A 17,254-nucleotide genomic window follows, 5' to 3' on the forward strand; every position below is an offset into this window, starting at 1 on the left:
CGTTTAATATCTTTACATTAGAAGACATCTTACAAATAATAAGATAAATACCTATACAGCAGAAAATGAGCAATAACCATGAGCAGACCACTCAAAAGAAACATTTTTGTCTCATTAACATATTTTTTAATGTTCAATCTCAATCAAAAATGCAAATTAAAACAGCAAGTTTTGCTTTTAAAATTGATGAATATTTTTTAAATTTTAATACCTGGTTTCACCAAGGGTATTGCAAAAATAGTGTTGCCATACAAACTTTTGGGATGACAACTGACAATGTATATCCATAGTCAATCCCCTTACCCTTCACCCAGCAGTTTCTTAGGACACAGTCCTGTATGTTTAAGGAAAATAGTCAAGATGTAAAAAGAAATCTGTATATGAGAATAATCACAGTGGAGATTGGTAAAATGAATAATGGCACATATATATAATGGAATACTATTATTTATTCAGTTTAAAAAATAATTACATGGGAAAATATTCATATATTTACTAAGTGATTAAACAACTATTAAACTATATTATGTAATGATCATAATATGTGCTTAAATACACAGAAGAAACTGAAAAATTGTTAAAATAACAAACAAATTTTTTATTTTTCCTGAGCGGTAAGACCATGGTTAATTTCTTTACTTTATTTGAATGTTTTTTTTTTTTTGGTTTTTTCAAATGTTCTACAACAATATGGCGTTTTAAACAAAAAAAGGCTTGTTTTAAACCAGTGAAGACCCTCATTGCAATTCCATTTATTATGAAATATACATTTCAGGCCATGTATATTAATAGAAAAACAGAAATGTCATATGTAACATACATTTTTTAAAAAATGATTCCTTTGTCCACACCCATAGAATGTACAACACCAGGAATGCACCCTAATATAAATTATGGGACTTTGGGTGATACAATGTGTCAATGTAGATTTATAGATTGGAACAAATGTACCAGTTTGGTGTGGGATGATGATAGTGAGGGAGACTGTGCCTGTGGGAACAGGGAACTCTCTGTACTTTCTGCTAAATTTTTCTGAGAATGTAAAACTGCTCTAAAAAATACAGTAAAAAAAACATGATTCCCAGAATGCAAACTGGATGCAAAGTAAATCTGCCACTGCTTAGCACAGAAACATAAAATCAATGCTGATTTAGTGAGGAAGGCTTTGAGGTATGCTGAAAAGGTGTCTAATAAAATTTTTTGTCTAATAAATTTTTAGATATCAATTGCTTTATGCAAATCTATATCTCACATAATGAGAATAAAATTAATATATAATATTTTCCATTTGCCTTCTTATCCACATAGGTAGAAGGAGGTGTCCTATACCAGCTCTGTCCAATATAAAATATGAATCACATATATAATTTTATTTTACTATTTTTATTTTATTTTATTTTTGAGACAGGGTCTCACTCCATCCCCAGACTGGAGTGCAGTGGCATGATCATGGCTTACTGCAGCCTCTACCTCCCAAACTCAAGTGATCCGCTCACCTCAGCCTCCCAAAGTGCTGGGCCAGGCACCACACCCAGCCTCTCACACATAATTTTAAATTATCTGGTAGCCACCATTTTAAAAAAGTAAAAGGAAATGTGCAAAATTAATTTTAATAACATATTTTATTTAACCCAATATATCCAATTACCATTTCAAAATATAATCAGTATAAAGATTATTGAGACATTTTATCCATTTTATCATATTAAGTCATTGAAATCTGATGTGAATTTAACATGTGCAGCACATCTCAATTTGGTTGCTAAATTTGCACTGGAAGTACTGGATCAGTATTTAGATTTCATAAAATTTACTGTTGAAAAAGTAGATTAACATACCCAAGTTTTTCCAAACATAATTGTTTTAATGACTAATTGAGAATCTGTTTTAAAATTTAAATTATAATTCAAATTCAAGTTTCTCAGTTGCACTAGCACATGTATCTAGATGCTAATTTGTTAGACATATCTCCTCTTGGAAGGGGTTAATAGTGAAATATTGTCACCGGACATGCTACTTTAGGGTAATAGGCCTGAATACACCTAGTACTCAGCAAGTTCAAATCTAAATTTTAATCATGTTAAAAGAATGTAAATTGTGTATCCTTACCTACTTTCTTGGCCTTCTTTAATATCACTGAGTCACATATCTGTTAAGTTATTCTTAGCAAATTCATCTGCAAAAAGGGAAGTCATTTCCTACACTGAAAATGAGGTATTGCTCCCAGTAATCAATTGGCTGCATAATTTCACTTCCCCTTGCTGGATTAAGGGATGATTCTGCCACTATACAATTTCTAATAGTAAAGACTAAGAGTGTGAAAAGTGAAAAAAATACAGGCATATTGCTATTTATAGTAGATTGATTTGTGACCTCACAGGCAACAGAACTTCCTCACACATTTAAGAAGTCTTGCATGACCCCAAGGAGTGAAACTAATGAACTGTCCAAATTTCAGCTGTGTTTTGCAGCTTGCCGTACAAATTGGACAAGCCCTTTACTATTAGAAGCCATTCCTCTGGTGGCATTCATGACTGTCATATTTTAAATTCATCACAAACTGGACTCAAATTCTCATCCACTGGTATGGAAAGTTGTTTCCTGTACTAGCAATGGAATAGCTAAAATAGAACACAAACAAACATGGCTTCCAATGATGATATCTGTTTGGAAAAATAATAACGTATCATGACGAATGTCCCTTTCCTTCCTCAGAATAAATATATTCCCCCAAATGTATTTCTTCACTTGGTAACATAAGTAAAAAAGCAAAACCAGCTAGGATGTGATCTGCGATAAACTAAGAGTGCACATGAACCACTAATTCCAATGTGTCAGTCAATCAGTCATCAAAAAACTGTAGTTGTACTGCCTGCCATGCACTTCAACCATCCTCAGGATACATACATAAATAATACGGTTCCTAATTAGGGAGGTTAGATTTGTGGGCAGCAGAAGACAAGTAACAACATAAGGTAGCATGTAGTCAAGTAGCAAGTGAGTGACCCAGATAACAACTGTTGTAGGACTAGAGCACTGGTTCTCAAAGCGTCTGTGGAGGTCCTCGAGACTCAGGGGTTCTGTGAGGCTAGAACTATTTTAAAGTACTAAGGTGATATTTGCCTTTTTCACTTTGCCAGTGTTTTCACTGATGCTGGGTGAAACTGTGGTGGTCTTGGCACAAAGCAAGGAAGTGGAATCAAATTGTAGCAAAAAAAAAAAAAAAGTCAGTTTCACTCAAGAATGTACTGGATAAAGCAGTAAAAAAAAAAGGTATTTGACTAAATTTATTAAATCCTGACCCTCTAGGGTATGTCTTTTTAATATTTTGTGGGACAAAATAGAAATGATACGTAAAGTGCTTCTATTACACACAGATGTACGAGGGCTGTCTAGGAGAAGCACTAGTGCAATTGAGTTTCAAGTTGAACTAGTCACTTTTTTTATAGAATAGCATTTTTATTTGAAAGAACAACTGACTGACAAGACAAATTGTGGTTATTCAGACTCGAATATTTGGCAGATTTTTTTTCTCAGAAATAAACAAAGTGAGCCTGTCACTTCTAGGAAAACAATTGACAAGATTTTTTTTAACCAATGATAAAATTATTTGAACTTACAAGTAAAAATTAAAATATTGGAAAATTCATATCCTAATATGTAAAATATTTCCTGATGAAATACAACTAATGAATATGATATTTTTGATATTGTACAATGAAATAGACATTTGGAAGAGCTGCATAATTCAGTGAAGGAATAATTTCCCAGTGACCATTACATGCTGTTACAAATCACTCACTGTATTATGATTTGCGTAAAACATCCAAGCAATAGACCAGTGGGTTTTAATGTAACAGAATATGAAAAGTTTATTGATATGCACTTAAATTCCCCATTGCAATTAACTTTTTTGAAATTATCATTTGAAGGATTTTGTAGTAGTATTAAAGACTATCCACAATTATCTGAAAACACTCCTTTCTTCAATGATGCTTCTCTTTGGGGACAGATTTTCTTATGTACTTAACCTACACAACATGTCACAGTAGATGAAAATGCAGAAGCTAATATGAGAATCCAGCTGCCAGATATTAAAGAGACTTCCAAAATATAAAATAACATTTTTCTCAAATTTTTGTTTGGGAAAACACTTATTATTTTATTAAAATGTGTTACTTACGTTAATACGTAATGGCCTTGTCATTATTATAAATTAAGTAACTCAAGTAACATATTTTAAACATTTCTCCAATTTTAATTTCTAATACAGTAGTATCAATAGATGCAATCCTCATAAACTTACATAAACAAAAGCTTTGTGGGGCTTTAAGACGAAAATATTTGAGAATCACTGGACTAGAGAAAGAGCAGCCATCAGGAGAAGTTAGAGAAACTGTTCTCTGGGACCTGCTATTTCATAATCTCCAAACACACCCTTCCTCCTCCAGCGCTTTATGACCCAGACTGAATGGTGTTGATTATTTAGAGTTGGCCAATTTACACTAGTGTTCTTCAGGTAACATTTATATTTGTGGAAATGCAATATAAAATCCTTAAATGCAGCACAACTCCTTCATAATCACAGACCTACTATTAAGTGGCAGAACTAATAACACATAGAATAAATATACGAGATTTTGCCAAGTATCAGTGGTTCTTTTCCATGTCCAAAGCCTCCCTTTTAACATTTATTATTATCATTTTCCAACCCTTCCATGGACCTAATATAATTAAAGATATTGTCTAGCAAACAAACTACATTTATTAACAGTAAATTTATTTTCCTACTTTGGATTGACTTTATGCAATGCCAGGCAAAGCAAAAACAATAGAATTTTCTGCAGTAATCACGCAATATCTGTTTAGATTTTTGAAAATTTAAACTAGGTTGTAGATTCCTCCCCACCCCATCATTACTTCCAAAAAGCACTTGGGATATAGAAACTCGAGGTTGAGATCCTCTGTGGCCTGTAGGTTTTGGTTTTGTTTGAATTTAGCTTTTGGTTTTTGGTCACTCAAATCATGACAGAAATAAGTTTTCCCATTTTTGCTCAGTGATCAGATATCTGAGAATCCAAGGTTTGAATCCCTTATACGGATACATGCAGTTTTAGGGTTTGCAGTGAGACAATGAAAAAGCCTGGGCTCTAAAATCAGAAAATGGCCTTCCAGTTAATAGCTGTGTAAATGTAGGCACGTCGATCAAGTTCACTGAACCTTAGTTTCCTTATATGTAAAATAGAGCTAATCATATCTACCTTGCTTAGCTGGTATGTGGCACAGGAAATGATAGACATTATTATTCAGCAAATAAACCAAGTTGTGCTATAAATCCATAGACTGCTTTCAATATTGAAATTATTTCATATTTTTGCCAATTTGTGGCAAAAAAATGTAAAAGACACTTTTGTGATTGGTCCTTGGTATAGTTTTGCTCCTTTAAACATGGACTAAAACTTGCCCATGCTCAGTGTGCAGGTCCTTCAACACATTTGAAGGTGAACAGTGCTGGTCCCTGACAAACTTAAAAATTGTTCAGGTTTATCTTTAGGCACAAAGAATAATCTGTGTTCTCAAATGCCATAGTGACCTCTGTCCCACGGTTCAACAGCTGTAGGGCTATCCATAGAAGCAGCTGGGCCTCTGGTTTCTCTTAGTATCATGAACCCAATATGGAAATCCTCCCCCTCAGATTTACTCACATTACTTCCCTGACCTTTCCTTCCTCTAATTCCTCCTCTCCCCTCTCAGATACAGATTTTATACTTTCCTACAAATGTTCTGACTTTAATTAGTATTCATCATTAATTTGAAGAGAGTCTATATTCTGACATCATGATATGAACTTTCCATGTTAATGAAATTTCTGACAATTTAGTGTGCTATTGAAATTCTTCCCTTCTCTAGTGGTTATGGTTGCATTTCTAAAATCTGTTATGATGTTGGAAGAATTACATTAAAAGTAGATATCATCAATGTTTTGTTCATTATTGTAATAAAATGAAAACATCTTAGTGTTGTGTTATAAATCCTATAATTAGTCTGTAATCCTTCCCTCCCTTCCAAAGGTATTTCAGGGATTAGAGTTTTTAATTGTGCGTGAGATTCATAAAGTAGGGGCACAGCCTTGTTACTACTATTACACATTTTTTTTCATTTGGATAATTTAGCCGTTATCACTTCAAAAATCTATTTAGAGATGACTATAATAGCTAGTCTCTACATTTTTACATTGGATTTTTCTTTCTTCCAAAAAAATTACTGCTCCACAAACCCCAAATATATTTTTAATTTAGGGAAAAAGTGCTTATATCTGAGAAAATGTGGATTTGGAGAATATATAGAACCTTTCCTCGGGAATTCCGAAAACTCAAGCGCTCTGGCTTACCAAGTGAAGTAGGTTTTCAGGAAATCCCAGCCCCTCAGGACTCTCGATCTGAACCAATCCCAGCTGCCATAGCTCCGCGCTCCCGGGATGGGGCTGTGTTGCCCACGCCTCGCGGCGCGGGCGGACACACACCCTGCTAGGACTAGCTCAGTCCTCCCAGTTTCCCTTCCGAGATGCCTCGGAATCTTTACCACGGTTATCAAACGATTCTGTGGATCAGTAGTTCCCAACTTCTAGGGACAGACGCCCTTTTAAAATTCAACGTAACAGACCACCACCCTCCAAACAGACTGTGATAGCCGTATTTTTAAATTCTCTACTGATTGAGAAAACTCAAAAACAATTAAAAACTCCAATAGAGCCTACAGTACTTTCAAATGACTGTATATTTTAATTATAGCATTTGCATACAACTGAGTTTATTTATCTATGCTGTACGCTAAGTTTAGGGGCAGGCTTGGTGCACAGATGGTTTCGCCCACCCTTTGCACAGGGCAAGCCCCCCCCAGGCGCCCAGGCTGGGAGGCCCAAGTCCCGGCAGCTGCTGCGGTGGACTTAGAGGCAGCAGCTCCTGCTTCTGCCCCAAACGTTCAGTGTAGTCGGATTCCCGGGGACAGCAGGGCAGTCTGCGCGCACATCCCCGGGGCATCGCAGGACACCTGCTGCCCCCTATCGGTGGTGAGAACAATAACCCGAACCCGGTTGGAATCAACTGGAAGAGGCCTTTTGAAAAAAAGAATATTCCAGGACTACGCAGTAGCCAGACGACTCTCTAAGAACATGGGTTTCCGCAGTCAGCTCCGACTGCCTCGTTTTAATGCAGTTTTTCGCCATTGTAGGAGAGCATGCTGGATCGAAGAGGACTCTGACACTGCTTCGGTGAAGGCGGGGAGTGGGGAAGGGGGGGTGTTGAAGGGGTTCAAGATACACCCAAGGGTCTATTTGTTTTCCACCTCCCTATTCAGCAACCCATCTGGTCCTTATGCAAAGCACTTGCCTTCTCCCGGGATGGGGACACACATCAGAGCACAGCGTGGTGTTTTCCCAAGCCCCCGAGGCACCTGTTCCCTCACATTACACCTTGAGGAGAGTCCAGTGACCTCTGCTGCAGAGGCGACAAAGGCTCCCTGGGAAGCCGGCCTCAGTGGTGTCCAGGAATGGCTTTCAAACAGCGTGTACTCCTGTGGTCCCTTTAATAAACATAGGACTATGCTTCAGAAAAGCAAAAATAAATGCCGAGAAGTAAAAGGAAGCTATCGGTTACCCCGTTACCTCTGAAGCCTGTATATGTGAAATTTTCTTCTGAGACCGAGCATTAAAATTTGCTTCCACTTGGACATAGCCAAGATTGCTAACAGGCTGGGAACGTGTGTGTGTGCGTGTGTGTGTGTGTGTGTGTGTTGCTACATACTCTGGGATTTCTAATTTTATTTTCATCACTTTCTCCCCGCTTATTACTACCCCCCCACCCCAATACACACACACTTGGCAGTATCCTAACTTCTTCACTCTTGTCCACATTTGTCTTGGCGCTCTGGGGAAGAAGGTAAGAATAGATAGACGAACGAAGGTGCGTGCAAGAAAGGAGGGAGGGGAGGAGGTACGGTCGGCTTGCACACCAGACTGTGCTTGTTTGAGCAGGAATAGTGGCGGGGTGTCTTCGAGAGGATAACGGAAATGCCCCACCACACGCCCACAGCGCAAGTGCCGGCGTCCCCAATCGGCCAGTGGCAGCAGCAGAACCGGGGTCCACTTGGCACCTCAGGGGCTCTCGCCCGTCCGCTCTGGGCGTCGGGCTGTCCAGTTTCCCTGGGAATCTGGGAGAGGAAGGAGGCTTAGCTAGCTCTGTTCTCCCTGCCAGTACGCTGTGGCGGCGGCCCCTGGCCAGGGCCCGGCCAACTCCCCGCTCTTGGGTGGCTGCAGGTGCCCAGTGGCCCATCCCCAGCGGGGGCGAAACGCCGAGCTGGCCGAACCTTCCACACGTCCAGCTCGGAGTGCGTCTCAGTCGCGCGGCAGAGGCCCCTGGGCCCGGGCGCTCTGGGTTCCCGCGGCCTGTGGGCGCGGTGCACAAGGGCGCGGGCGGGCGGCGGCAGCTCCCAGGCGGAAGGCGCGGCGGGGCCACGGTCACCGCCGCCGCCGCCGGGGCTCGGGCGGAAGCGCGGGCTCCGGGGGGAGGGGCTGCCGCGCCCCCGCAAGGCCCAGGGATCCCGGCCCCGAGCGGCTCCCATCCGAGCAGCAGCGGATCCCGGGCCGCCCTTACCCTCGCCGGGCAGGGATGAGCCCTGGTCAGGTTCAGCCGCAACCCCGCGCGCGGCGGGGCGAGGCCGAAGCCCACGCAGGTCCGCCCGGTGTGCGTCTTTCACTCGCACACACTGAGCCCCTTGCCAGGCGCGCAGGCCCGGGCTACGAGGCCGGCTGCTCCGCCGTCTGCCACCTCCAGGACCCAGAGCCGCCAGCCCTGGGCTCCCGGCAAGCTGTGACTTCCCGGATGGGGCCATGCTTTTCTTCCAGGACAATCGGGGCTCCTCCCCTCCCGGCGATCTTTCTAGGAGGCCACCTCCAGAGATTGCGAGGCGATTTCCTCCCTGCCGGTACCAAACTGTAACTCCTCTCGCTACAGACGCGGAGAACCAAACGCTGACTATTTGGCGAGGGACCACCACCACCCAGAAAAACACACGGTTCAGTGTGCGTTGATTGTTTGCATCAGCGAGTTCATGGCGAATAGAAGTTCTCTATTTTTGATAGCCCTGATTTTCAAGCGTTTTAAAAGTTACGTTCTGTTTTCTGCTTGGTCAACAACACGGAAAATGGAATATTGCTTTTTTTGTGATTCAAAATCAATTGTAGTTACAATGACTTTGAGAATTTCACGGCATCTTGTGAGATAAAATGGAGATGCGCACCTAGGTGAGAGTCACTGGAGTGGATTACGCAGTGGCCGGCTGGATCCGGCTAACAGTCTCTGAGGCTCATTCCTTTTCGTAATCAGCTCGCCCACTCTAGTAGGACTTTCATCTTTAAATTATTTTTTAATTATCATGAGGCTCTCAGTCTAAGATAGCAAAGATTGAGCGCCACATTTAAGCAGTTCTCTCAAACTAGCTTTACCTTTTTAGGGAAGTAATTCCTGGGCTAATCATTTCAGATCTGAGAACAAAAGAAGTTGCTAAAAAAAAAAAAACAACTTTTATTTACGCAGCAGATACTTATGGATCGTCTACCTTGCACCAAACGCGCGCGCGCACACACACACACACACACACAGTGAATACTGTGGGCTATACAAATAATATATAACATCTGTTGAATGATTAATATGTGACAGGCAATATACTTGCTACTTAAAAAGGATTCTATCATTTTACCCTCCCGGGGACATATGAAGTAGAGATATTATCATCCCTGCTTTACCTATGAGAAATATACGAGTCATGAAGTAACTTACTCTAGGTCACCCAGTTAATAAGTGGCAGGACAGGACATTACACTTTACGCCCAGTCTGATACAGAGACCTCAGCCCAACCTCTACAATGTGTCCTTCAGTCAGATCTGGGAATCTGTATATTTTGGAACCACCTTAGGTGAATGTGATAGAATTAGAACTTGAGAAGCCTTGATGTAATCAAACTTCCTCATTTTCCTGATCAGAAAACAAACTCAAAGAAGCAATTTTTCTGGAAACACACAATTGCAGAAAGAGATTCAGAGAGGCTGTTCCTGGTTTCTTGGCTAAGGTCCTTTCTACTATCCAGACTACATTGGCTCAGTCCAGGAGGAGTCAAAGAAGGTAAATAATTCAACAGTTACAAAAAGTGTACAGTCAAATCTTGATTATCCTTAGTTTCCCCTTCAAATTGCTTGCCTTCTGGATTTTTGACTGTTAATCTAGTTTCTCTCCCAGAGGGAGAGAGAAACCGTGTGAAACTCGATTATTTCATTTCTGCTCATGTTACCTGGTAAGAACGCTAATATTATAAAGGAAAATGGGGGCCAGGCATGGTGGCTCATGCTTGTAATCCCAGCACTTTGGGAGGCCAAGGCAGGAGGATAGTAGAAGTTCAAGACCAGCCTGAGCAACACAGACAATCCATCACTCCCCCCCCCGCAACCCCCAGCCCCACCCCCACCCTATCTCTGCAAAAAGAAAAAAAAATGGGCATGGTGGTGCATCCTGTAGTCCTAGCTACTCAGGAGGCTGAGGTGGGAGGATCATTTGAACCCATAAATTCATGGCTGCAGTGAGCCATGGTCATGCCACTGCACTCCGGCCTAGGTGTGGTGGTGTGCACCTGTAGTGCAGCTATTCAGGAGGCTGAGATGGGAGTGTTGCTTGAGCCCAGGAGGTCAAGGCTGCAGTGAGCCATAGTGCACCACTGTGTACCAGCCTGGGCAACAGAGAGACCCTCTCTCAAAAGAAAGAAAGAAAGAGAGAACCATGCAGACTACTGCCTTTTCTCAACAACTCTGAGCAAATTATTTCCTTTACCTAAAATCATTTGCTGATCTCCCATCCATTCTACAGGATAAAATTAAAATTAGACTTATGAAGAAGGCAGATAAAATATTACATGATATTACTACTTTTCATCACCCACAATTCTGCCTCTCATCAAACTTTAAGCAATACTAAACACGCTGTAGTCCTCTGCACATATAGTGCTGTCCCCTGCTTTGTGTTCTTGCATTATTCCCATCCTCTGCCTGGCCTTCCTTCCACACCTGTCTCTTGGAAAATGCCATTCATTTCCCAAAACTCTGCTCAGACAGCACCACACATGTGAATTTTCCTGACCCTCTGCTACCTCCCACAGAGCAATAACCTCGTGCTTGTGCAGCAGACCTCTTCTGTTCCTTACATAGTCTCTTTTATGGCTCTTAATCTGTATAATGAGTTGTTTCCATATCCTTAATCTGTATAAGGAGTTTTTCCATATCCTTCTCTTCTCACTAGAGCTCCTGAGGAATCTGTCTATGTAAACTTTGTTTAGTGTATCTGAAAACTTAGGAAAGAGGCTAAACTTACTTTAAATAGAATGTTACATTTTCAAATAATACCTTCAGTATGTTTAAAGCAATATGTCCATTTGTCATATACTACGGAATGTCAAAAAAATCTGAAAACAGAGGAAAACATAGTGTATTTATTATACTTTTTCACATTACCCCATTACTTTAAATTTAGAGGTATTTAAACTTCTGGAAACTTTTCTGGAGAATGAGGAAAAACATACTAAGCAGATTTGAAAATGTAACTAAAATAATGTTTAAATATAAGTACACACTGTTTCCTGACTTTCAGACACCTTGTAATCCGGGGACCTAACACTATGTCCCAGTTCCCAACACATAGAATCTGTTGAATTGTTCTAAACTGAACTGAGCAAATAGTTTAAATATCCATGGATCCAGGACCTTCCAGTTCTAGCTTATCACAGTTCAACCTTCTGTCTCTCCTTTTGGTGAGCTCGTATCAGCTTTAGTCACTTTGTCAATCAACCCCTGTATTTGCTCTTTCCATTTGTATTAATGCTTTTAGCTAAATTATAATTGTATGTATGCTGTTTACATTTATTAGGGAAGGAGGTCCCTACATTCTTCCCCATTGGTGACAGTACAAGTTGTTGAGGGTTAGAGACAATTAATGGAGCAATAGAGTAGATAAGGCCTTCAAAACAGCTACTGGATCATTCATTCATTTATTCAACAAATATTTTTTCAGCATCCATTATGTGTCAGACTCTGAGCCAAGGAATGGCCTCCCAGACATGTAGAGGAGTCCTGTTTTATCCAACCTCCCCACTTGTACTTATTGCACAATTTCATACTGCTAGAAGCTTATGAGTGGGCAAATGTTTTCTGTACCATCCGGGACCATGAGGGTGTCCCAAGACTAGCCACTTAAAGATTTTGCTTGAATAAATTTTCCATGTCAGGTCAACTCTTTAGTGAATAAAGCACATTGTGTATATTTATGCAAAATTCAAAAGGTAATTGATAAATATTTACAGAACCTCTGGAGCACAAATAGGTATACCCATGGACCACTTCCTTGACAAATGGTCTCAAATTAACAAACTGATCTCATATGATAAGGAATCTGCATCTCTAGAAGGGTTTATTTCGCATTTAATATAATAATACCATGACTATCTTATATGTCTGTTTATTTAGATATATTAGTAATGTTTATATGCTCACCACAAGGTAATTAGAAAGAATGCTTGTGAGATAATAGGTATAGTTTAATATACTTTTTAATATCATTAAAGTAGACTTTGTATATCACCAGGGAGGAGAATCTAGAACTCTAGATTCTTTCATTCTAAGGAAAGCAATGGGAAATATAGCAAGCTATGGAGAATTAATGAAGTCTGTAGTTCAGAGAAGAGATTATATTCTCCAACAAAAACACTTTCGGAACTTTTGGCTCAAAAAGCATTTCTTAGAGTACAGATTTGAGAAATAAGGGATATAAACATATCATTTTTTGGAAACGCAGTTTTATTTATTTATTTTTCTTTTAATCCTCATTGACACTCGGGTTGTGTCTCAATTTGCAAAGCAACCAAAAATATCCAGTCGATTATTTGAGTAATTTAGACCCCTAGATAAATTGCTTGAATTACCTCAGTAGTTATCACCATTATAATTGTATTAACTTAAATGAGGAGAGGTAACACAATATATTGGAAATATTTGGAGCCAGATGATTTGGATTCAAATCCTGACTCTTCAGTTTGCCAGCTCTATGACCTTGCATCACTTCTGTCCTTTTGTGGCTAAATCCTTTGTGAAACAGGTATATCTCTACTGCCCTGTCTACCAACAGGGGGATACTGTGAGAATCAAATGAGGTAATGGATGAGAAACTGCACTGTGAAATGCACAGCAGTGCAAATGTGTTTCTGATGTAGGTCACACAATTTTCAATTAAGAGAAATATTCCTTGAAATTTAATAAAAGGAATATCCAAATTGATTCTTGGAATCACTCACAGAATAGAATTCTCTGAATTAGATAACAAGAAACCACTTTCTCAAATATTAGTCCATTTTGTTTTGCTTTGTATTTGATCAGGAAAATGAGTTCTGATACTGCTAGAGCTGCCAAACAATTTCTACTCTGATTCCTAAACTGGTGAGGAAAGCACCAATGCAATGACAAAAAGTATCATTGACTTCTCCTGTCCTTTTACAGAATTTATTTTACTATGAGTTTGTATTATTTTTACTAATTTATTTTATAGGATTCATTATTAGTATCTATAATGATAGCTAATAAAATATTTATAAGGGGGAAATGGGAAGATGGTAATCGAAGGCTACAAAGTTGCAATTATGTTGGTTCAATAAGTCTAGAGATCTGATGTTCAGCATGAGGACTATAGTTAATGACAATGTATTGTATACAGAACTTTGCTAACAAGATTTTTAGGTATTCTTAAAAAAGTAACTATGCGAAATAATGCATATGTTAATGTCTTTGACTACAGTAAAGTAGTATGCATATAAAAATATGATGTACACTTATATATACACAATTTAAAAATTATTAATTCTATAGCCATTTATTCAAACATTTATGAGTTTATATGAAAGGCAGAGGAGAAAACTGAGAAACAAAAAAGTGTCCTATTGCTAGACCTTCACATTTGATTTTGAAACCAGTTTTCCCTAAGCAAAAAGATGCTACAAATTCATAATTTTAAACTACTGGTGCTGTTCAAACTGGAAATGAGAGGAAAATGTATTAATAAAAATAGCTGTATAAGAATTAACTAACTCATCCTAACTCAAAACAACACCCATTTCTTCCAGTTAAGTTTTCTGTTTCATTTCCCACCTCTACTTTTCCCTGTAAGTTTGGTGATTTGTGATTAAAATGGACATACTTTTCATAATAATTGCATTAACATGTCCCCGTTTTCATCTTACCTCCTAACTACTGCAGTAAACAGGAAAATTATTGCAAAATGAAAATACAAAAAACAACCTACGGTTTTTTTTTTTAAATTTATTTTGGGTAAGGAAAGGGAAAATTTGAGCATCACTTGCCAAAATAAATTACATACAAATTGTGTGTAAAATTAAGTTATTTGATTCTTTTAAAATTCTATGATGTTACAATCATCTTGAGTGAGTTACTAAACTAAGCTCCTTTCTTTTTTTTTTTTTTTTTGAGACGAAGTCTCACTTTGTCAAGTGCAGTGGCACAATCTTGGCTCACTGCAACTTCCGCCTCCCGGGTTCAAGCATTTCTCCTGCCTCAGCCTCCCGAGCAGCTGGGACTACAGGCATGCGCCACCATGCCTGGCTAATTTTATTTATTTATTTATTTTTTAGTACAGACAGGGTTTCACCATATTGGCCAGGCTGGTCTCGAACTCCTGACCTCGTGATCCACCCGCCTCAGCCTCTCAAAGTGCTGCGATTACAGGCATGAGCCACTGCACCCAGCCCTAAGCTCCTTTCTGACAGGTAAAGAAACCAGGTTTGGGCTGGGCACAGTGGTTCCTGCCTATAATCTCAGCACTTTGGGAGGTCAGTGCCAGCAGATGGCTTTCAACTCAGGAGTTCAAGTCCAGCCTGGCCAATATGATGAAATCCCATCTCTACTAAAAATACAAAAATTAGCTGAGCATAGTGGCTGGCGCCTGTAATCTCAGGTACTTGGGATGCTGAGGCAGGAGAATCACTTGAAACTGGGAGGCAGAGGTTGCGGTGTGCCAAGATTGTACCACTGCGCTCCAGCCTGGGCAACAGAGTGAGACTCCATCTCAAAAAAAACAAAAAACAAAGAAGAACAGGTTTGACATGATTTTGGATATCTCTGTAGTGGGGAGTGTAGAGTAAATAACTGGTAATTCCGATCTCTTTGCAAATAAGTGATGTTCGCTGGAGGTTTTCCTAGAAAGGCTGAGAAGTGAGTAATATTCAGTTACAGGGTTGCGAAGGTGTCCAGGGGTTTCTACTATAGGTATCTGTATGTGTGGATATGTTAAAGCGATTCCTTGGAGGCTAATGTTCAAAAACACTAGAAAACACCCACTAGAATTATTAATGACTCTTCAGTTTTATGATTGTAGTTTCCTGATTAACTTGGTAAATTAAATTGTTCTTAAGTGGACAGAATAAGAGATAGGTATATGTTTACACAAGATTGTTACAGATTACAAAAGAAGGGGTTTCACAAGGAAAGTCAGGTTAGGTATCATAAGAAAAGAAGGATGAGTAGGCAAACCCTCAGGGCACCTCCACGGCTGCAGTTCTTTTATAACTTTCTTCTATTTCTAATCTTCCTTGCAGACTAGAAGGCCTGATTTCTTGCCTTTCCTCAGTTCAGTCCTCAATGCTATTTGAGAGAGATGGCTTTGCCAGCAAGAGTTCCATAGCCACCGTGTTATCTTGAAGTCAGCAGTGTGACTAGAGGCTGGAGGCTGGAGTAGATTAACCTGATTATGGACTGGCTTGGAACACGGTGTTCCTGGCCTCAGTGCTTGGGCTTCAGCCTTCTCTCCTGACCCTGAGTGTGTAAATCTGCACAGTATGTCTTTTAGCACATAAGCTTCCAAAGAGTACACAAAATTTCTATTTTACTAACTCTGCAAAAGCTCTAAAACAGGGCTGTGACTAACCTCTTGCTGTGTTTGGGGGGACTTTTTCTACAGCATATTGATGCATAATTAGTAAAATTGAATAATAGTAAAACTTTTTTGAGCAATTACAGATTAGTAAATGATATTTGACAATTTTTCCTAACGAATTCATTTAACAATTCCTGAGCAACCACTACATACCAGGCACTGTTCTAGGCCCTGCAGTTACAGCAAAACAAAACTGACAAAGACCACAGAAGTAGAATCTACAGTGCATGAGGTGGTTATAAGTGCTGTGGACAAAAATTAAGCAGGAAGGGCAATGGGGCGGGGGCTATAATTTGTTAAAAATGGCTTCACTGAGAGGGTGAGTGACCTTTAATTAATGAACTGAAGCAGAGCCAGCTGTGTGCAGCATGGAGCGGGAGCAGGGCAGACAGGGAGAGATTGCAAGTGTCCAGCCTGTGAAGCAGGAGTGTGCCTGCCACACACAGAAGAGCAGGGAGACCAGTGTGGCTGAGAGAGGGCTGGGGAGAGGAGAAGGAGATGGGGTCAGAGGTCATGGGTGAATGGCATGGACCAGATGCACTGCGCCTTGATGCTGTTGTAAGGGCTTGGCCTTGGTTCTGGGTGAGATGGAAGGGTTCTGAGCAGAGATATGACATGAGCTGTCTTCTGTTTTATCAGGGTCACTCTGTCTGCTGTGTTGAAAATAACTAGAAAGGGACAAAGGTGGATGCTGGGAGACAGGAGCTGCTGCTGTGGTCAAGGGAGGGGTGACGGTGGATAATGGCAGCAGTGGAGGTAGTGAGGAGTAGCACAGGTATTTTGAAGGTAGAGCTGGCAGTATTTCCTGATAACTTTGATAAGGGGTATGAAAGAAAGGGAGGAGTTTAAAAAACAAACCATCAGAAAACCATAAGAAATGGAGCCTGAGCAACTGAAAGGATAGAGTTACCATTACGTGAGTTTTAGGGAAGCCTGTATGAGGAGCAGGTTTGCGGGGAAAATCAGGGCATTTTAAGTTCAAAATACCCCTATGTGTTCAAACGGAGATGCTGGATAGACAATTGGATAGTTAAGTCTGGAATTCAGAAGAAAGGTCCCAGCTGGAAATATCCATTAAGAGTTCATTTAAAGCCCTGTAAAGGAGTACAAAGGTGCTATTCAAAATAATTAACAACCAATATAGTAATGGTACTAACCAATCAAAGTACTGGAGCACAGTTCTAAAGGGTCAGGTGTCAACCTTTTAGAAATTAGA

General features: G+C 40.0%; 1 long non-coding RNA gene across 1 annotated transcript in view, besides 2 other annotated features; it reads left to right on the forward strand.

The window, feature by feature from the left end:
* Positions 1-7,908: 7,908 nt before the first annotated feature.
* Positions 7,909-17,254, forward strand: part of LINC01990 (long intergenic non-protein coding RNA 1990) — a 32,983-nt gene continuing 23,637 nt past the window's right edge. Inside the window, exon 1 of the long non-coding RNA NR_110039.1 lies at positions 7,909-7,937. This is a non-coding gene — a long non-coding RNA (long intergenic non-protein coding RNA 1990). The remainder of the gene's footprint in view (positions 7,938-17,254) is intronic.
* Positions 8,455-8,704: a silencer, noted in NCBI's record as "silent region_14586". NCBI's record gives its function as "represses an Ori minimal core promoter by ATAC-STARR-seq in GM12878 lymphoblastoid cells {active_cell/tissue: GM12878}" and the evidence as "EXISTENCE:reporter gene assay evidence [ECO:0000049][PMID:35858748]".
* Positions 8,915-9,104: an enhancer, noted in NCBI's record as "active region_20202". NCBI's record gives its function as "activates an Ori minimal core promoter by ATAC-STARR-seq in GM12878 lymphoblastoid cells {active_cell/tissue: GM12878}" and the evidence as "EXISTENCE:reporter gene assay evidence [ECO:0000049][PMID:35858748]".

The sequence above is a fragment of the Homo sapiens genome, chromosome 3 (assembly GCF_000001405.40).
Source record: "Homo sapiens chromosome 3, GRCh38.p14 Primary Assembly".
NCBI lineage: Eukaryota > Metazoa > Chordata > Mammalia > Primates > Hominidae > Homo > Homo sapiens.